At 50.6% G+C, this 20,793-nt stretch overlaps 1 protein-coding gene across 10 annotated transcripts in view, besides 5 other annotated features; it reads right to left on the minus strand.

The window, feature by feature from the left end:
* HNF1B (HNF1 homeobox B) overlaps window positions 1-20,258 on the minus strand; it is a 58,629-nt gene extending 38,371 nt beyond the window's left edge. For 5 of the 10 annotated variants that reach the window (NM_001304286.2, XM_047436630.1, XM_011525164.1 and 2 more), the window contains exons 1-4: window positions 19,740-20,258; window positions 14,639-14,838; window positions 8,756-8,942; window positions 6,794-7,029 (exon numbers count right to left, since the gene is read on the minus strand). In NM_001304286.2, coding sequence (NP_001291215.1) covers window positions 6,794-7,029; window positions 8,756-8,942; window positions 14,639-14,838; window positions 19,740-20,083 — 967 coding nt within the window. In that variant the 5' untranslated portion in view covers window positions 20,084-20,258. Of the gene's footprint in view, window positions 1-6,793; window positions 7,030-8,755; window positions 9,021-14,638; window positions 14,839-19,739 lie in introns of all 10 variants that reach the window. The other 5 variants (XM_011525161.1, NM_001411100.1, NM_000458.4 and 2 more) reach the window with 1 other exon arrangement.
* Window positions 6,134-6,802: an enhancer, noted in NCBI's record as "H3K4me1 hESC enhancer chr17:36090926-36091594 (GRCh37/hg19 assembly coordinates)". NCBI's record gives its function as "activates a minimal SCP1, AML or CMV promoter by ChIP-STARR-seq in naive H9 embryonic stem cells {active_cell/tissue: H9 hESC(naive)}" and the evidence as "EXISTENCE:reporter gene assay evidence [ECO:0000049][PMID:30033119]".
* Window positions 6,803-7,469: an enhancer, noted in NCBI's record as "H3K4me1 hESC enhancer chr17:36091595-36092261 (GRCh37/hg19 assembly coordinates)". NCBI's record gives its function as "activates a minimal SCP1, AML or CMV promoter by ChIP-STARR-seq in naive H9 embryonic stem cells {active_cell/tissue: H9 hESC(naive)}" and the evidence as "EXISTENCE:reporter gene assay evidence [ECO:0000049][PMID:30033119]".
* Window positions 8,607-9,810: an enhancer, noted in NCBI's record as "BRD4-independent group 4 enhancer chr17:36093401-36094600 (GRCh37/hg19 assembly coordinates)". NCBI's record gives its function as "activates an origin of replication core promoter dependent on BRD2, P300/CBP, MED14 and CDK7 cofactors, and independent of BRD4, by STARR-seq in HCT116 cells {active_cell/tissue: HCT116}" and the evidence as "EXISTENCE:reporter gene assay evidence [ECO:0000049][PMID:35650434]".
* Window positions 16,842-17,344: an enhancer, noted in NCBI's record as "H3K4me1 hESC enhancer chr17:36101632-36102136 (GRCh37/hg19 assembly coordinates)". NCBI's record gives its function as "activates a minimal SCP1, AML or CMV promoter by ChIP-STARR-seq in primed H9 embryonic stem cells {active_cell/tissue: H9 hESC(primed)}" and the evidence as "EXISTENCE:reporter gene assay evidence [ECO:0000049][PMID:30033119]".
* Window positions 17,345-17,849: an enhancer, noted in NCBI's record as "H3K4me1 hESC enhancer chr17:36102137-36102641 (GRCh37/hg19 assembly coordinates)". NCBI's record gives its function as "activates a minimal SCP1, AML or CMV promoter by ChIP-STARR-seq in naive and primed H9 embryonic stem cells {active_cell/tissue: H9 hESC(naive and primed)}" and the evidence as "EXISTENCE:reporter gene assay evidence [ECO:0000049][PMID:30033119]".

A 20,793-nucleotide genomic window follows, 5' to 3' on the forward strand; every position in this document is an offset into this window, starting at 1 on the left:
GAGAATTTATGAATAGCTAGGATAATAACCATGACTGACTAATTGATCTGACTTTATTTGTGGGCTGCATTCCTTTTATATATATAACTTCTATATGTATGCGTGTGTGTGTGTGTGTGTGTGTGTGTGTGTGTGTATATATATATAATACATATATATGTATGTATATTTCTCTCTCTCCTCTTCATTTGTGTTTATACTTCCCCCTAAAAAATAGGTAGAGGCATAAAGCCAGATCTTGTTCCATTCCATTAAGCAGGTAGCTTCAAAGGCCCTTGCACAGATCTCTGCCTCTCTCTGCACCTGTAATACCTAATTCTCTCCAAGTTCCTGTCGCTTCTCATCAAACCTTCAACAGTTTCCAAGAGCACTTCTCCCATAAGCTGCAGGCCAGGGCTGTGTGCTTGCAGGCAGCTTCCTTCCTCCTCAGAGCTCACTGGAGGCGGCAAGGAGTCCTTGAATCGTCTAAGGATCCTTCAGGCGGATTAGGCATGACCCTTTGGTGATAGGACTCCAGTATCTCCTGGCCCCTTTGTGCAGAGGCTTGGAGCCCCACGAGCACAGCAGCCTGGTTTCTTTGTATGCAGACCAGGGCTGGTCCCCTATCAGAGGGAGGCTGACAGCAGAACACCCTGAAGGCTAGGCCTCTTAATCTCATTAATATCCTGATTGTCTTCCCCAACCCAGTGGCAGCTGATGGGGTGGTACCCACAAGATAAAATGACCTTCAAATTCAAGAGATAAAATGGCACTCAGATAAAGTCCCTAAGAAGGAGAATGCTGGAGCCACCCATGTCCGCCACTAAACCTCAAGTCAGTATGAATGTGTTTCCTAGAATAGCAGACATTTCAAGGCAGGATTTGTCTCTCTTCTGAACTGAAATAATCTGCTACTTAAGGACAATGGGCCTTATTTACCGTGAGGAACTTTGCTGCTGAGATGAATATTTTTACAACTACCCTCATAAACCCCTCCCGCTGTCTGCTGCCCAGGGAGGGGGCGGAGCTCCCAGAGGTGAGCTGAGGTGCTTGCACTGTCTCAGAAGCCCCATTAAGTTGTTAAGGCATTTAGTAGTCCAGACAGTGCCGACTGCAAGGGCAGTTCAAATCCCCACACAAATGGGGATGGGGTCATGAAAGAGGGGGCTTTGATTTCTTGCCTGGGCAGGGCACAGAATCCACCTTGGTCAGGGGCAGTGGTTGGGGAGGAAGTAGTAAACTACCCAGAATGGGAGACTCTCACCCTTACCCCACCTCTTTGGCCATGATCTCCCAAAGCCTCAGTGTCATTTAGAGGGGAACAGTAGGAATGTGGGAAAAGGAACTGCTGGGGGCTGTGTGTGTGTGTGTGTGTGTCTTTCTCTCTCTCTCTCTCTGTGTTGGGTTTAGTGCCTGAAAAGTTCTTAGCATCTGCATAAAGCAAAAAGAGATGGACAGTGTGCAACAGCTCAAAACCTCTCCCCACCACTTACTAAGAATATGAACTTGGGCACATGCCTTCCATTCTAAATAGTTCACTTCTCTTGATTGTAAAATGAAGATGACACTAGAGATGGCTCCTACTCTGCAGGGCTGTTGTGTGGGTCACATAAGATGATGCATGGAGGAACTCGGCCCAGGGCCTGGGACCAAGGAAGTGCTCCATCAACACTGGCCATTAGAATTCCTCTCGTTGAGTCACTACCTTGCCACTGGACACTTTGGAGATTTCCTCGTGTCCTGCAGAATTCAGTGCCAGGGAAAACAACAGCATTCACATAGGTACCCTGGCCCAGAGTTTGGCTGGTCTGAGACCCAGGGTTAGATTCCCTCAGGTAACCTGGGAGGGGCTGTGAAGGGGGATGAGCGAGAGGCAGGAGGCAGGATTCTCTGTTTTTCAAGCTCTAAGCCACATCAGGGAAGTCAAGTCCACTGGGCTTGGAGAGGGAGGAATAGAGTTCAGCGAAAGGGAGGAGCAGCAGCCACAGAAATAAATGTCTCCTCTTTGGTGAAGGGGCTATGGTTCGGGACCCCTGAAAGTCCTCCTGGCAGGGCCTCTTCTCTTTTTCTTTGTGCCTCACTTTCTTTCCAGGAGAATAAGTCCCCCCTTCCCTCTCAAAGGTGACACAAGAGTGAGGACATCATGCGTGGGAGAGCGGAGGCTGATGAAGACCTTTTACCCCTCCTCTCCTCCTCAAGGTAGTGGCCAGGTGAGCTTGCTGCCGACTAGAGCAAAGGGTACAGGGAGCAAGGTCGCCACAGATCACACAGCAGATACCACAGCTTGGGCCAAGGCTAGCCAAGTTTCCATCCCGCGCCAACTTCCTCCTCCTCCTCCTCGAGCCAATCAATACAAGCACCAGGCTCCAACCAGTCCTTCTCCTTGCTGCCGCCCTGCCCTCTGACCTTTTAGGGGCCTTTCTCTTGATTCATCTCCAGAAGGGAGGTAGAGGCCATCACTCCAGACCTGCTCAATGGCTTCAGAATGGGCTGTCATGGAGCCTATAACCAGGGACAGCTCCTGCTGGCCAAGAGCTGGAATAGGGGGTGGGGGCGGATAAAGGCCTTCCAGGCTGAAGATAAATGGCTGCCTGCAGCCTGCTACAGTAACTTCAGGCCCCCAAGAAGAGCAAACAAAGGGTGCCCCTGTGACACTCCCTGGAAAGATGAAGGCCCAGCAGCGGCAGCCAGGCTGGTTCAAAGCCCCAACTTAATTGTCAATTAAGCATGCATAAGGGAGACAAAGCCATGACAACCCTTGGCTGCATGCTGGTGTGTGATTGTAAAGCCAAGGAGGGGCAACGCTGGAAACAGCTGACTCTGCTGACAGTGTGTTTGTAGGGCATCTTGTAACCAATCAGCCGCTGACAGAGGCAGAGTGCTCCTCCTGCCACCCCTATTGTGCCGGACATTCCAGGACTAGGGTCACACCGTGGTCATCGTGGGCAAGTGGGCCACAGCATGGTAAGCATGGCTGGGAGGGAAGGTGCTGTTAGAGAAAGGCTGCTCTTCCTCTCTAGGAAGAGGGTTCTGGGGAAGCTTCGTCTCCAAGGTGCTGCCAGCCCTCCTGGCTCAGGTGCTGATGTTTGGAGAGGGGAGAGCGTGGAGAGTGGGTGTGGAGGGATTCGGGCCTTGTTCCCCCCAGCTCAGTCTTTGGGGTTGCTAGTGCTGACGGTGGATTTTGGGCTCTCCTCAGCAACATGGAGTTTTTTTTGTTGTTTTTTTTTTAAGACAGAGTCTTGCTCTGTTGCTCAGGTTGGAGTGGAGTGGAGTGGCCCATCTCGGCTCACTGCAACCTCCACTTCCCGCCTCCCGGGTTCAAGCGATTCTCCTGCCTCAGCCTCCGGAGTCGCTGGGATTACAGGCACCTGCCACCACGCCCAGCTGATTTTTGTGTTTTTAGTAGAGATGGGGTTTCACCATGTTGGTCAGGCTGGTCTCAAACTCCTGACCTCAAGTGATCTGCCTGCCTTGGCCTTCCAAAGTTCTGGGATTTCAGGTGTGAGCCACCACACCTAGCCCACAGAGCGTTTTTTTTTTTTTTGAGACGGAGTCTCGCTCTGTCACCCAGGCTAGAGTGCAGTGGCGTGATCTCTGCTCCCTGCAAGCTCCGCCTCCTGGGTTCACGCCATTCTCCTGCCTCAGCCTCCCAAGTAGCTGGGACTACAGGCACCCGCCACCACACCCGGCTAATTTTTTGTATTTTTAGTACAGACGGGGTTTCACTGTGTTAGCCAGGATGGCCTCGATCTCCTGACTTCGTGATCCGCCCGCCTCGGCCTCCCAAAGTGCTGGGATTACAGGCGTGAGCCACCGCACCCGGCCTTTTTTTTTTTTTTTTTTTCGGTATTCTGCACACAGTTACGTTTCTGGCTTGGTTAGTGACCCTACCTTGGCTGTGGGCACTGAGGTGGGAAGAGTGCCATGCGGCTCTACAGACAGAAGCCACCCCTGAATGCTGGGCTCCAGCCTGCTGTCTGCCTGAGTGCATGACTCGGGAGCCCTGTCACGGCACACACGCCATCCTGGCAGCCTGAGGTGGGGACACAAGTCTTTGACCCCAGCATCGTGCATCTCAGGCACTAGCACAGCAGCCACCTCTGTTTCTAGTTCCAGGGCCAGGCTACATCTCACTGCCTCTTAGGGGGAATGCCCTGGTGTGTGAGATCAAAAAGAAAATGATTTCTGCTGCCTGCCAGTCTTCTCACTGCCCTTGTTTAGCCCTCTCTAATGTTAAGAGTCATAATGAGGGTAGTATGGGTTATCGGGAAAGGTGTCTTTATACATTCACTCCTTTCATCCTCACATGCACCCTGTGTGGAAGGTCCTATTTCTCCATTTTGTAGGCAGGAAATTCAGACTCAGAGAAGTTATGTGAATTAGCCACAGTTATAACCTTACTGGTTAGAACCCAGATACATAACTACACTCAGAGAAAGAGAAGCCAGTCCCTGGGCTTGGGACAAGGACCATGTTGAGGAGCCCAGAGTGAAAATTAAAGCAGAAGGGCTGGGCACAATCTCACAACTGTAATCCCAGCACTTTGGGAGGCTAAGACAGGAGGACTGCTTGAGACCAGGAGTTCGAGGCTGTAGTGAGCCAAGACTGCACCACTGCACTCTAGCTCGGGTGACAGAGGTAGACCCTGTCTCTCAAAAAAAAAAAAAAAAAAAAAAGACAGAAGAAAGGCAGCCACTGATAATATTCAGTGTCCCATAACTGTTGCTCCAGAAACAGTAATAGGATCTATTACACCGCAGAAAGATCCACAAAGCCCCCAAACAAAACCTCCATCTGCAGCTGGTTCTGGGGACTCGACAGTGACCCGATATCCTTCCTACCAGACAGTAACCTCCCAGAGGGCAGGACGCGCAGCTCGTACATCACTAGCATATTCCCAGGACTTGGTAAGCATTCAACACATCGTAGTGCTGTGGGAAAGTATGGAGTGGGAACCAGCAGGCCTGAGCTCTAGTCCTTGTTTTGCTACCATTGCTCTGTGTCACTTTGGCAAATCACTGCCTCTTTCTGGGCCTCAGTTCCTTTCTTCAAATTCCCTCCAAATTCTAACATTACAAGATTTTTAGAAAGATCCAGACTTCAGGGGCACCCCAGAGTATCCACTTCCCATGGGACACGCCCTTCCTAGACTCCAGTCAGAGGAGTACACAGGCTGTGTTTTCTGCCCTGCTCCCTGTCCCTCCAGCCCTAGCTCTCTGGGTCTCCTGTCAGCACACAGGATGCCTAAACCAACGACCCCGTGGTGACCTCAGCACAGCCCTTGCTTGTCAGAAGGCTGCTGGGCCTTTGTTTGGCTTCCAGGCTCCCTGACTTTGGTGTGGAGATCACAGGTCCCAACACAATGGCCATTGTCTTCCCAGTAATGCCCCTTGCCCCAACCACGCCCCCTGTAGCTCCCAGCTTCAGCTCCGTGGATCGCTGTGGTGGGCAAGCACACTGGTACTGCTCAGTGCCAGCCATGTGCCATTTGCCACAACCCTCAGAACCCTGCTTTGAATTTCCCTAAAGGGGCGAAGTTACTCTGCAATCAGGCCAGTCTTTGCCTAGGGGCTTCTCTGCCTCTTAAGTAACCAAGACTTTCTTCCTGTGTGGCTGAGCCTCTCTCCTCTGTGGGAGTGGGACCTACAGAAACCCCCAGCACTGGCCCCACCTTCATGCTGGGCACTGTCAGGCTCCCAGAGGCCCTGGAAGAGGCAGTGCTATGGGAGGGCACAGCAGGCATGGAACAAATGCTTGTACACCACCCAGCTGATGGCTCCGAGCCTGTCTTGGTGGCTTTGGTCCCCTCAACACTTGGGTCAGCCCCCAGCCCTCAGGCCTTTCTCATCAGAAGGGCAACCGACAGGTGAGGGGAGCCAACAGGTTTCAGAATCACCCCTGAGTTAGAAACAGTGTTTGGCTTTCCTTTCGCAAGCCCTTTTCTTGGAGCAGGCAGGAGGCTGCTACACTTTGTCCTCATGGGCACCACACAGACCCCAGTGAGCACATCCATTCTAGGAAGCCAGCTTTGCCAGAAGAATGAAGGACCAGAAGAAGTGCTCCATCCCAGCCTGTGCCTAACACAGCGCTCAGCATGAGGTGTGCTTTCCCCCAAGGAGGCTGTAGGATTCCATCCTGACAAACCCAAAGCCCACAGCAGAGGCATTCTAATCCAGGCCAGGGCCCAGCACACAGGAGCACTCAATCAAGCATGATGGAGCAGGTACTCGGTCAGTTTTTCCCAACTCATTGCTGCAAAGATTTCAAGTGACTGACCCCCACCAACCCTGATGACACACGGAAGCCAACAAGCAGAGGCCACCAACAGAGTGGCCGTCCCCAAAGGCTACTGAGCTTCTCCTGAGGCAGCCGGACCGAGCGAGGGGCAGGATATGGCCAGAGATGGAGGAGGTGGCCGGAGTGCCATCCTCCAACACAGTGAGGGTTGCCACGCCATCACGACCCGTTTGCCTGCGGTTTGGATCTGGCCCACCCATAAGGCAGCCTCCTCAGTGTAGAATGACCGCTGAGTCAGCAGCCACACAGGGAGAAGAAGAGGGAAGGAGACAAATAGGGTAAAGGGCTCCCTGGAAGCCGAGTGAGCCCTCACAGGGCAATGGCTGAACCAGGAGTTGGAGGAAACTGATCAGAGCCACACATTATTTCCAGGGGAGTATATTCTGGCAATGAGAGAGCGGCCCTAGGATCATCTCAAAAGCGTTTGCTCCTCTGAAAACCCTTAAACCAGATAAGATCCGTGGCAAGAACCAGGATGGTTGGGTTGCCGAGGCAGTGAGGCCCAACCTTTGCTTACCTGACAGCTTGTTTGGAGGAGAGGAGCTGGGCTGGTGGTGGGGGGAGCCGTGGGAGAGCAGAGGGTTCAGGCTGTGAGTCTGGTTGGAGCTATAGGCGTCCATGGCCAGCTTTTGCCGGAATGCCTCCTCCTTCCTGCGGTTTGCAAACCAGTTGTAGACACGGACCTCAGTGACCAAGTTGGAGCCCAGGCCGTGGGCTTTGGAGGGGGACACCCCTCGCTGCAAACATTCTGCCCTGGGAATGGATGGAGGGGAGATGGTGAGTGAGGGGGGGCGGGGGGACTTGTTGGTGCTTGGCCAAAAACACACAATCACAGCAGTCTTGGTTGGGAGTATGAAGGGGCCGTGGGCAGAATGGAAGGCTGGGGAGGAGAGGCCTATGCAGAGAAAAGGCCAATCCATGGAGTGATCTGATGAAGATGGCTGAAGTGGGCCTGAACGCAGGGACAGAGCAGGCTATGCCGCCCTGGGAGTCAGGGGCTTAGGCTCTGGTGTGGCTCTCGAGGAGAAGAGAGCAAGCCGGGGACAGGCAGTCCAGGGGAAGGTCCAGATGGGGCTTCCTTATTTAGCCATTCTTCCCACCACATAAAAGGCAAAGCCCTTCGCTGGCTCTGTCTTGAGTGGCTTCAAAGCACTTCGAGAGGATTTCTGGTCTTTTGGGGCTTGAACTCCCTGAAAGAGTGCCAGGAAGCAAGATGCTTTATCCCCTCCAAAAGGCAGGCTGGGTGGGGTACAAAGCAGGGTGCATTGAGATGGCCAGTCTCTAGCTTTATCAGGGCTGGTGAAACCTCAAAACCAGGTGCGAGAGATTCTTAGACACTACTGGGTGCTGCAAGGCATCTCATTAGTCGGGGTATGGAGCACAGCCTGAGGACTCAGTGGCAATACAGGCCTCCCTGCTTCCCAGCCTGACCTCCCTGGCTGCATTCTTCCCACAGCCAAGGCCAGCCCAGCCCAGAGACAGAGAAAGCGCACACAGGCCTTGGCCAGACCAAAGAGCTGAAGTTTTAGAAAGTCAATACTGGAGTCAGGGAGAACAGGGCAGGAATGAAGTAAAAAGATTTCCCAAGGCTTTCCAATCGTTTAAAAAAAAATAGCTGGGCCCTGTGGCTAGAGCCTGTAATCCCAGCTATTTAGGAGGCCAAGGCAGGAGGATCGCTTAAGCCCAGTTCAAGATCTGCTGGGCAACATAGCAAGACCACATTTTAAAAATAAATACTTAAAATAACACAGAGTTGTTTTTTTGTTTTTTTGTTTTTTTTTTAAATAGAGATAGGGTTTCACCATGTTGCCCAGGCTGGTCTCAAACTCCTGGGCTCAAGCAATCCTCCCGCCTCGGCCTCCCAAAGTGCTGGGATTATAAGTGTGAGCCACCGTGCCTGGCTGGTAGTTAACAAGTAAAAAGAACTCTGTTGAGTCAGCGGGGGCAGAGTGGACTGAACAGATCTGACCAATTCTTACTCTCCTGCCAAGTTTCCTTTTGGACCACTGCATGTCTGACAATTGGTAGAGGCCAGATCTAGAGTCTGTGGCTAAGGGAAAGTTTTACCCTGGCCTGCAGGGAGGTCAAACACACAATTTCGCTTCCCAAGTATCATATTTTAAATTAGCATTCTCCAGAGTATCTTCCCTGGAAGAATAATTCATGGGGTTGTTTGTACTCTACCGAAGATTCCATAGTTAACAACCAATTCAACAAAGCTAAGTGGGTTTCTTGACTGCAGGGCTTCTCGGAACCTTTAATATATGTTGTGACTCTCTAAGGGGAAGTATCCATATGCTGATTCTCAGACTTACTGATTAATGAATTGATATTGGGGTTCTGTGGAACATACTTTGAGAAGCTCTGATTTAGCCACACTTATCTGTATAACTAGTGTCTCAATATCCCAGGACCGAGGGGAGGGTTCCTGGGTCTGTGTACTTGCCCACCTGCCCAGGTGAGCTTCTGGTGGTGTTACCTGTTGCATTCCTCCACTAAGGCCTCTCTCTCTTCCTTGCTGGGGTTCTTTTGCCGATCGTAGGCCTGGTACAAGATTTGCTGGGACGCGGGCCCCCATTTGAACCGGTTGCGGCGCATCTTCTTGTTGGTGGGCTCAGAGCAGGCATCATCGGACTGCCCAGGCCCATGGCTCTGTTGACTGAACTCTGGAAAGAGAAACAGCAGCTGATCCTGACTGCTTTTGTCTGTCATATTTCCAGAACTCTGGACTGTCTGGTTGAATTCTGAAAAGAGAAAGGAGTAGATTTGATAGGGTCTGTAGCCTTCACTCAGCAGACAGACAGACAGACAGACAGACAACGGACGAAGACACCTTTATTCCCCTCGTCTAACTAAGCTTTGCAACCTTCTCTCACTGCATGTGGAGCTGGAGATGGGGAGCCCTCAGCACAGGCCCTTACTGCCCACCTCAGTTGCTCCAGCAAAGCCACCCTTTTCCTTTCTTTGAAGGAGCTCAAACATAGCCAGCTATAGTTTTAAGAAAATTATTATTTTTTCCCCTTTGGCTCACTGGCCTTCAGAGATGAAGCAACACTCTGCATCCTGAACTCCTGTATTTGATGTCAAGTGGGTGAGCTCAATCAAGTCTCACATCCAGGGGAGAACTGCTCAAAGGTACAATTTACACTTGCACAAAATATTCAGAGGCTGTAGATAGCACTCCCCACCTCTCCTCCCTCTTCCTATATCCTAGGTATCTACATTATAAAGTCAGGTTTTTAGAAAAACCCCAAACCTTTTGGAACATGCTTTGAAATAAATATAACTGGAGCTTTGTATTGGAAAAAGAAAATGTGCTTTAGATCTCAAAATAATTTCAAAGACTACAAACACAGGACCTGTCTGGGAGTAGTGTTTAATTAGCTGGAAATGATGCTCCCTGTCTGTCCAATTCCTTGAGTCCAGGCATACTGTGACCATCAGGAGATTTTTGTGGAATGAATGAGAACCAGCAGCTCGGCCCAGAGGTGATGCCTTAGCCCACATGGTTTAATGAGATTTGATATCTACATTACCGAAGAAGAAAGCTTTGCTGTCCTCGTCTTCACATCTGCATGAAGCAGGGCTCATCAGGAGTGATTAATTCCATTTTAAAGATGAATAAACATGGAGGCTAAGCACTCTGCTGAGCAAAGACACGTAATACATTCATCTCCTAGCTCTGGGTCCCTATGTTCTGGATCTTAATATCTTTTTTTTTTTTTTTTGAGACAGAGTTTGCCTCTTGTTGCCCAGGCTGGAGTACAGTGGTGTGATCTCGGCTCACTACAATCTCCGCCTCCCGGGTTCAAACAATTCTCCTGCCTCAGCCTCCTGAGTAGCTGGGATTATAGGTGTGCGGCACCATGCCCAGCTAATTTTTTGTATTTTTAGTAGAGATGGGGTTTCATCATGTTGGGCAGGCTGGTCTCAAACTCCCGACCTCAGGTGATCCACCTGCCTCAGCCTCCCAAAGTGCAGGGATTACAGGTGTGAGCCACCGTGCCCGACCTTGATGACTTTCTTTCTCAGTTCCTGTAATTACTCCCACAGGTCACAGAAAGTGGAAGGCTACCACCTCCCTTTGTGATGTAAATGATGTGCCATCATTTACATGCCATCCTTCCTGTTCCTTTGGACAACTGGATCCAAAATCCTCAAGGTTCAAGTCAGGCTACTACTTAACGTTTGAATCCCCTCTACAACCCCACACCAAGTGGCCCTCCAGGCTATATGCCTCCAGCAGCAGGGAACTTACCACCTGTCTTAGGCTCATTTCCATTTTGCTCCATCGGGAGGAATGGTTAGGGCCCCTAGCCCGCCAAGACTTGCAATCCCAACTGCAGGTGGTGTTGGGCTTTGTTTAACTGTGGACTGATGGTGTCACTGGGGCCTTTGATTTCGGCCCATTCACCTTGGAGGATTCTTAGGCCACCTTAGGGCTCTGTTTTCAGTGGTGCCCAACAATGCCACTATAGACCTGAGAGAGTCCCTGTCAAATGTACTAGCAGGAAGTCACTGCTAGTGGGATCATGTGGGGCCCCAGCTTAATTCCCTCATCATTTAGTCTCCCCAGCTGTGGAATGAGACTGACTGAAAGCTTAGGGACACTAACTAGTCTTTTAGAATATCTACCCCTAGTCAGGATGATAGTGATGTTGGCCCAAATTCCTTTGGGGGTTATACTTTTTCTTTTTTTCAAACAAGGTCTTGCTCTGTGACCCAGGCTGGAATGCAGTAGTACGATCATAGCTCACTGCAGCCTTGACCTCCTGGGCTCAAGCCATCCTCTCGCCTTAGCCTCCCAAGTAGCTGGGACTACGGATGTGCAGGCCACCACATCTGACTAATTAAAAAAAATTATTTTTGTAGAGACGGGGTCTCGCTATGTTGCCCAAGCTGGTCTCAGACTCCTGGCCTCAAGCAGTCTTCCCGCCACCTCAGCCTCCCAAAGCATTGGGGTTACAGGCGTGAGCCACCATGCCCCACCTGATTATACTTTTCAAAGTGCTTTAGCCCCTCTATGGTATTTGACTTCACAGCAGCTCTCTAAATGCAGTTACTTGAGGGGAAATCCAAGGGGGAGAAGGAGATGTCCCCTGCTCAGTGAGGTCTGTCACAGTGTCTTCCCTCCTCCCCGTGGGCCCTGTGTGGCACCAGTAGAGTCACCAATGGCGAAAGCCAGTGTGGATCATCCCAAGGGCCTGGGAGCAATGTGAGATTTTTTCATTTGATGTGAACAGACACAATAACGGTTCACATTTATTGAACCTTTTCTGTGGTGAGGTATTGTGCCAAATCCTCTAAATATATTCCTTCATCTAATTCTTACGACCGCTCCATGTGAGAAGTACAGCCACCTCCATTTTACAGATGAAGAAACTGAGGTTCAGACTGGTGAAGTGACTTGTCCAAAGTCATGTGGACTTGGGGCAGGAGCCTGGACACGAGCCCAGCCTGCAGGCTTGCAGGCTCCTAACTACCAGCCTGTGCATCACCTCTCACTAAAAACAAAACCCAAGCCACGTACCCCGCAAACGCTTCATATCTGACTTGTGTGGAGGTGACAAAACCGATTCCTGAAGCTTTGTGTCTGGTGGGTGTGAGACACTCTCGCAGCTGCTCCCCAGTGTGAGGGCTGCCTCAGTCTCTCACCTGCCCTTTGAGGAGGTAGCAGGCTGAACAGTGTTCAGAACTCAGTGTGTCCTCAAATCAGCCAGGTGGGTTTGCCTGTAGGTGCTCAGAACCATTCGGGTTCCACTGACATCAGGGGCTTGGCTCTAGCCTCTCCCAATTTTTGAAGAACTAGACTCCCACATTTGCTCCCTCTAGCCACCAACAACTCTTCTCTACTTCCCTTCAGATTAATTGGGGTTGGGGAAGAAAATGTTCATTGCCCATGAAAATTATCTTGGAGAAGTTGGCTTCAGTAGCCTCTTTATAGGCTTGGGGGCTGCTTGGACAAGGAGGTTCTGTGTGTGTAGAGGGGCCCATGAATATTACCATTTGTTATTTTTAGTTTTTCCAGGAAATTTGTAATCATGTATCATTTTTTATTCTCTCCCCTCTTCCTCCTTCTCCTCACCCCATTCACTTGTGTCCCTCTTTTATTTCTCTTACTTCCTAATTCTTATATCATGCTTGCATGTCTTACATTCATCCTTCAAGACATGATTTGAATGTCACCTCTTCTAGGAAGCCTCCCATGATGTCTCCAGGCAATTTAGCAATTCCTCTGCTGCCCCTTGTGTATATCTTTATAACAGCTCTTAGAAAGTGAATGTCATTATTTACTCAAACATCTCCACTTCTTCACTGGATGGCAGGTAAGTCCCTGGAGAAAAGAACCTATGTATTCCATAGCTTAGCGTAGTGTTTGGCACATAGTAGGTGCCTGTATAATAGTTACAGAAGGAAGGAATGTTTCTTAAGCTTTTATGTCTCGTGTGACTTTAAAACAAAAATAACAACTGGGTGCGGTGGCTCACCCCTGTAATCCCAGCACTTTGGGAGGCTGAGGCGGCGGATCACGAGGTCAGGAGATCAAGACCAGCCTGGCCAACATAGTGAAACCCCGTCTCTACTAAAAATACCAAAAAAAAAAAAAATTAGCCAGGTGTGGTGGCGGGCACCTGCAGTCCCAGCTACTTGGGAGGCTGAAGCAGGAGAATGGCGTGAACCCGGGAGGCGGAGCTTGCAGTGAGCCAAGATCGCGCCACTGCACTCCAGTCTGGGTGGCAGAGCGAGACCCCGTCTCAAAAAGTTAAATAAATAAATAAATAAATAAAACAAAAATAACAATAACAACAATCTCTTGAAGAGGCTGTTGTATTTGTAAAACGTCCCTTCCTCAGCATCTTGAGAAACTTTCTGGACCTCTGTCTTTTGAGAAGTTTCCAGTCTGCCTTTCCTGCCTCCTTCTCCTTTCTGAAGAAATTCTCATTGAATACAGAGAGGCAGCACAGACTGGAAATGCTGCATAAAGCTTAAATTGGGCAGGGCCCAAGCGTTGTTGGGTCTTTGGAGACAATGGCTCCTGAGAATTTTTTTAGGCTTTCCAGGAACTACAGAGAGTTGCTTCATGTCAGGAACACAAATTCTTAAAGAGCTAGTCACCAAGTATGGGGGGCCAACCCATTCTTGGAAAGGTCTCTCGCTCTAAGCAGCAAACAGCTCTCATGTTGCTTCTTCCAATCTATTCATGTAATGCTCCCAACAAAAGCACAAACACCACAATATGAAATGAACACCTAAAACCATTCCTTTCACCAGCCCAGGGACATTGAGACAATAAATACTGAAACAATCACTTCAGAGCAGTGTGTAACAGAAGACAAGAGTCATTTTAAAAAGCAACAGGGAAAAAACCCAACCCAGAAACCCAGATAGTGGTGGAAATTAACATCTTGATAAAGACAGAGAAGCCTAGATAAAGCCAGAGGATAGTGTGTGGGGAGAGTGAAAACCGATACAAATTTTCCAGGAAAAGGATTGGATCAAAGTAATGAAAGTGTAATGTCAAAGAATACTTTCCTAAAATACAGACAGTATGTCATTCCTACTCTTGTTATTCATAGGCAGTTCAAACTTCTCTAGACGTACTTCAAAACAAAAACCTTTTAGAATTATTGGGTGGGAGAAATCTTGGGACAGAAAAAAAACTTTGGGATGGGAATGGGGATGACAAGAATTGATGGGTCAGAGTTCCAAATGCAGATGCTTTTCCTGTGCCCTGCCTTAGCCAGAAATAGCTTCTTCATGAGCAGGGCCACCAGCTGAGGTCCCCACACTCTACCAGTGTTGGTAAATGTGGGTAAACACCTTAAATTGCCTCAGGATTCAATCCCTCCCACTATCCTCCAAGAACAGGGTGAAGTTCTGAATATATCTCTCTATACAAATGCATTCTATTGTTGATACTTTTTCCAGAGAGGAGGAAATTAACAGTAATAGTAATCAATATTATTGACTGCAACGAAATGTCTTCTTTGGAAATTGACTGATGGTCACGTATCAAGGGGAGATGCTGGGTTTTCTCTCAGGGAAGACATTTCACTCTGTCACCTACTTGGTTTCAAAGAGAAGGAGGTGGAAGGAGGGGCCAAAAAGTTTAAGGTATGCTGCATACACTGACAGGCTCCTCAGAGCAACTGGCTGGGTAGCAAGGGGGCTGTGACTGAAGAACATGACAGAAGCCAATCCATTGTACAGCAACCACCAAGGCCAAATCTACTTGCCACCTTCCTCATATCTGCCAAGTGCTCACAAGGCCTTGTCGATGAAAGGGAAACTGAGGCAGCCAATGGGGTGAGAGGGCAAAGGTCACTTCAGGTTGAGGCAGAGGCAGGATGAAAACACTTACGTCGGAGGATCTCTCGTTGCTTTCTGACGTACCAGGTGTACAGAGCGGCACGCTTCTGGGTCTTCATAGGGGTGCCCTTGTTGAGATGCTGGGAGAGGTGCGACTGGTTCAGGCCGGTGACATCGACCACCTCCCTCTGGGGGATGTTGTGTTGCTGCATGTAACCCTTGATCATTTTAGCAGCCCTCCAAGGGTCCTCACTAGACAGACAAGCAGATGGTTAGGGTACTAGTGGGAGACATCTGGGGAGAAACATTCTTTTTCTAGGGGGTGCTACCTATGGTCTATGCAAAATTCTGAATTTTCCCCCCATCTAAGCTACAACTTTGGGGTAGACATGAGGCCAAAATGGAAGCTAAACAGAGGAGAAGGTGACTGCCCCTGTACGGTACACCTCATCCCTTTCTTCTGAGGTTAGTGGGCAAAAGAGGACTTCCCATCTTCAGGAATAAAAAAGCACCACCACCACTCTCTCTTATTAAGCAAAAAGAAAAGCTCTTGTTTTATTTAATTAATTAATTAATTTATTTATTATTATTTTTTTTGATGTGGAGTTTTGCTCTTGTCACCCAGGCTGGAGTGCAACGGCATCTTGGCTCACTGCAACCTCCACCAGGATCCTGGGTTCAAGCGATTCTCCTGCCTCAGCCTCCAGAGTAACTGGGATTATAGATGCCCAGCACCACACCCAGCTAAATTTTTTATTTTTAGTAGAGATGGGGTTTCACCATGTTGGCCAGGCTGGGCTCACACTCCTGACCTTAGGTGATCCATCTGCCTCGGCCTCCCAAAGTGCTGGGATTACAGACGTGAGCCACCGCGCCTGGCCATTTTATTTTGCTTTCCTCCATTTTCCTGCAATGTGGGAGATTTAAAAGGCAGGAGGCCCACTGGAAAGTGGGGATGCCTTTAGCTTGGGGCTGGACTCCCTGATCCTACAATGAAGTAGGGATAGCATCAGTTTCTGAATTTGCCCAATTTTAGCTTCAACCTCTCCTACATTATTTTCCTTTTGAATGGGTATCTCCATTTCTTATAAAACAGGGGTGAAATGTATGTGTTCACCTTCTAAGAAGCAAGGAGGATGTCTTAGCCAAATAGTAAATAATTTTCAGAGTTTTAGAAAAGTTTTCCAAAATACAATGTTGTATCTCCTTGGGACGGGAGGATCACACCACTGAGGTGAGGCAAGTAGTTAAAAAAAAAAAAAATCCACAGCTCCACCTTCCAGACAAAATCTACTGGGCTAATGGGGACAAATAACTTCAATTTCGGACATTAACAATTTTAGATGCTTGTTTTCCTGTATTATGTTTCTCATAAATTTTAAATACTGGATAAGAACATGGTTATACTTTTCATTTCTCATAAACACAGGTGTGTAAACTGCTAGTTTTAGCACCTTTGAATTTTATTTGTCTAGAATGGTTTCAACTTTGCCAATATCTTTTCTTGCTTATTGAACAGATGCTTTGAAAAGAGAGATATAATTTAAAACTAGAAATTAAAATAGTGTGCAGCACAGAACAAAAGTACTAAAGAAGCAATATATACATGTTTACTATTTATTTAATGCAGGTACATATTTAACTTACAAAAACCAGCACCCCATTACTGTATGTTGATATATATATTAGCTTGATAGAACAAGAAAAAAAACGGAAGGGAAAACTAGTTTCAGGTGAAACAAAAAAGAAAACGGTGTAGAGGCTGAAATAGATACAGCATTGCAACATAATAAGCAATTTTATTTCTAAATGGCGCCTTTAAATATGTCAAATAAAATTAATTCTGTTTAATGAATAAAAATCCAGTAATCGAACATATTTTATAAGCATTTGGGTAGTTGTGATTATTTTATTAAGACTTTGATATTAAACTCGTGAGAACACAGGCTTTGATAGAGATGTTTTTGAGAAATGCAAACTTTTTATATTAATTATATATAAGAACGAATTTCTCAAGTATTTACAAAGGTAATTTCCAAGTACACAATATGAGGAAGTAACAAGAAGAACAAAAAATGAGAAAACGAGTTACAGTTTCAAACGTGGAGAATTCACATTAAGAGGAAAATAATGTAATAAACGTTTTAGACATATCCTTGTAAACATCACAGATCATTTAAAAGTTTATTTCTGGTCAATATTTCCACCGATATTTTTAGGATGGAAAAATACTTTCAACGGCTACGAACAAGACTCCTCGAACCTTAGGGGAAAAATTGCATTTTAAAAGTGAATATTGCTTTAGCAAATTCTTCGGCTATTTTTCTTTTGTTTAAATGCCTTTACCTGTGTTCATTTTGTATGCCTAAGAAACCTAGAAAAATAGGGTACTGTTCTAAGTGGGAATGATTCTGTGGAAACAGTGAATTAGCCCAACAATTGGGGAGGGTTTAAAAAAAGCCCCCAAGAACCTTATAAATAATGGCAAAACCTTTTAAGTCCGACTTAAAAGAGTGAGGAGTAAGATGGCGCAGTTATACCTTCACAACCCTCTGACCCCAAAATTCACGTGTGTTCACCGGGAAGAGCCGGGAGAGCTGGTTATTTTTGTTTGTTTGTTTGAAAACACAGCTCAGGTTCAGAGGTTCCCTAACACCGAGAAAGGCACCGGTCCCGAAGAGGGCCTGCGGCCATTGTGTCCCAAGCGCAGGTGTCAAACGCCGGCCGCGGCGCCCGCAGGGTCCGTCCCGCACGCTCCTTCTCAAACAATGACTTTGCTGCCCACGAGCAGAGAAGCCTGGACTCCAGCGCAGTCCGCAGCGCGTTCGTTAAGGAGCCCAACTTCGGCTTCTTAGAATGCAGCCCACTTTCTAGACGCCCCCGGCGCACCTGCCTCGAGGCCGCGAGAAAGGCCAGCTCCGGCCGGGAGCCGGGGACCGGGAAGCGCGCAGTCCCGACCTTCCTCCCCTGCCTTTCTCTTCCAGGAGGTTTACTAGAACTCCGGGAACTCCAAAACGCGACTTTTCTTTCTCTTTGCTTTTCGTCTTAAGGGAACACGGTGGGCAAAAGAAGGGAGTGCGTGTGCCCGAGGCTTGGGAGCCCCCTGTGCAGTGACCTAGGAACCGCTAGCGATTTCTTGAAAAATTACTTTAATCAAGTCCGGCGCTCCCGGGAGCGGGGGAGGAAAGGCAGCACCCGCTCGGGACGGGAGAAAAAAGCCTCCAGGTCTGTCCCGCGTCTCCAACTCGGCGAGGGTCTCCGGCTCCCCAGTCCCTCTCCCTGCCCTGCTGGGGCCTGGGGCTTTGGGGAGGGAAGAGCGGGGCTGGGGTCTAAGGACCCTGGGCCGGGCCTGGCTCTCCGCCGGCCGGGCCTGCGGGTGTCGGCGACCCGGGGGCTCCGCGGGCGGCTCGGGCGCTCACAGAGCCCGCGTCCCGCGCCAGAGCGGTGAGGCCGCAGGGCCGCACGGGGCGCCTGGCTGGGTGCGCGCTGGGAGCGGCGAGCAGCCCCGCGCCCGCGTTTTGATCTCCTTCCCCCCTCTAAGCCGCGTTTACAACTTCACCAATGAATAACCCGCCTCTCTTTTCAACCTAATCACGGCTCTTTGTGTATCTTTCTGTTGATGATTTATAGAAATAAATTAATAACACCCCAACTCCACGTGCTGCAGTTTATGTTACGTCTCAGCTGCGGCCAGCCCGGCGCGGGGCTGGGTGCGGAGGGGCGCCCCAGGTCCTTCCAGCGCCGCGCTAGAAAGCGGGCGCCTGCGGCCGAGTGGGAGGGCCTAGGCCCTGTGGCCCCCGGTGGCCGGCGGTGGGAGCCTGGTTCATCCGCCAGGTCCTGAGCGACCTCCCCGGCAGCCCTGGCGCCCCAGCCGCTCCTAGGGGCCACTCTCTCGACCCCTCTTAGCCTCCGCGACTCACACCTTCCGCCTCGCGGAACTCTCTTGCAGGAGTTCTCTCCCGGTAGGGGAGAAATCACCTCCGGGCGGGAGAGCGACGAGGGAAGAACCTCAAACCTATGAATTATACCAAAGTGTGTTTGGGGAAAAAAAATCTACAAGTTCCCCTGATTGTTTTGGCTAGAGGGCAAACCGCCAGGCCCTCGGAGCACAAATTCAAATGCAAGGTCATATCCCACCCCAAACCGCCGCTGCGGACGTGCGGCCAAGGCTCAGCCCCGAAATCGCAGCGCTTCAGTGTCCGAAGCCACGCGATGGGCTCTGTCCTAAAGCGGAGTGGCCCGGGAGCGACGTGCTGTCTCAGGGAACCGCTCGGCTCCTTAGATAATTAGTAACCAGCTGTCAAAGTCTAGGGCGGTCGGGGAGGACCCACAAACGATCCCGGCCCTGGGGATACACTGCCAGCCGGCCTGAACTCCCGGGGAGAGGCCGGGGGTGGGCAGCGAGGTCTGGAAACGCCCTCCTTTCTCAGACTGAGACCAGATCCTCTGCGAACTGAGGTCTGAGACGCGTTCGCCCCCACACCACCGCGCTTGGTTTCTTTGGCCCCGCGCGTGTCCACCCGGACCCTGCATGGAACATGCCCTTTGCAAATCTAAACCCGCGTTGGGGATCCCGGATAATTCCGGGCCTTGCATGGGCGCGGCTAACAAGAGTGCCCACCAGGGAACTCGCCTCCCAGATCCCGGCTCCGGATGCCGCCTGTCCTTCGGCAAAGAACTGCAGGTCATCATGCAGGTCAATGTGTCCGAGGCCGACATGCGGCTTTCCAGACCCGAGGCAGGGCGCAGGAAAAATGCGCGGCCTGGGGCTTGCAGCGGCGCGAGGCTCTGCTCCCGGGAAGTCGCAGCGGTTTCACTGCACCCACTCGCACCTTCAGTCGCGTGGGCAAACCTCCCGGCAAAGGGCTCCACAGCTCCAGTTCTCCCCGGCCCAGCCCCAGCCCCGCGGGGAAAAGCCCTTGGGTCTCGGACGCTGGCCTGGGCCTGGGGAGAAGAAGCCCGGTGGGCCGCAGGGTCGTCCCGCTAAGGGATTGGGAAGGGTCCGGGTGTTGGGAGAGAAGCAGAGCGCCCCCCGGGGGACTTCTCTGGTGGGAAACGGGCTTGGCGAGTGTGGTCGGGCGCAGTGTCACTCAGGCCCGGGGCCGGGGCTCCAGGGGTTCGGGTGGGTCCCCTCCACCTCGCTCTGCGCCTACCTGAGCATCCGGTCCACCTCCGCCCGCTGCTCCGCCGCCTCCTCGGTGTTGAGCGCCTGCAGCTCCTTGAGGATGGGAGGTGTGTCATAGTCGTCGCCGTCCTCGGAGCCCTCGTCGCCGGACAAGCGGCCCTTGGCGTGGCCGTTGGTGAGAGTATGGAAGACCGGCTTGGTGTCGGGCTCGGCCCCGCTGCCAGGGGACAGGGGCAGCGTCTCCAGCTTCACCCCGAAGTTCGGGGATGGCAGCAACTCCTCCAAGGCCTGAACCAGCACCTCCTTGGTGACCCCGGAGCTCAGCAGGGCGCTCAGGAGTTCTTGCTGGAGCGACGTGAGCTTGGACACCATTTTCCAAGGACGGAAAAAGAAGGGGGTGAGGGGGTGGGTGGGTGCGAGAGAGGAGGGTGGAGGGGAGTTTCACAAGCAAACCCCAAATCCAGGAACCCCTCCACCCTTCAGCCTCCAGACACCTGTTACTCCCCGGGGTCCCGGAGGCTCCTCCGAAAGGAGTCAGAAAACTTCTAACTTGCCATGATCGCCACCATTAGGCCATATAAGATATGCAAATTAGTGGGAAGGGCCCAGCTTTCGGCTGGATGCAAATGATGGTGGGGAGGGGGAAACCCGGAGAGAGGGAGAGCCGGAGGGGCAGACCTGGAGAGCAGAAGACCTGGGCCGGGAGCGGGGCTTTGCCAGGGTCCATTGTACTCACGCTGGGGGGCTAGAGACCTTCTTTTACTGGTTCTGCTTATCAGCCAAACTTCACCTAACCTTTGGACTTGTTAAGCCAGTGCCTTGCAGCCTAGGCGCGGGGCTTTTCCACCGGTTCTCAGTTCCGCTTTAGTCCAGAGAGAAGACACTACGCTTCGGGGTTCAGGTGAGAGCCAGAGGAAGCTGGGGTGCTCGTGGAAGAAGGGGACGCAGGAGGAAGCGAAGAGTAGAGACCCTGGATGCGTCCCGGCCGACGCAGGTGGTGGGCCAGGAGAGCCCGCAGGGCGGAAGAGAAACTGACCACTTAGGAAGGGGCGCCGAGGCCACGGGGGAGGTGAGGCAGCGTT

The sequence above is a fragment of the Homo sapiens genome, chromosome 17, assembly GCF_000001405.40.
Source record: "Homo sapiens chromosome 17, GRCh38.p14 Primary Assembly".
Classification (NCBI taxonomy): Eukaryota; Metazoa; Chordata; class Mammalia; order Primates; family Hominidae; genus Homo; species Homo sapiens.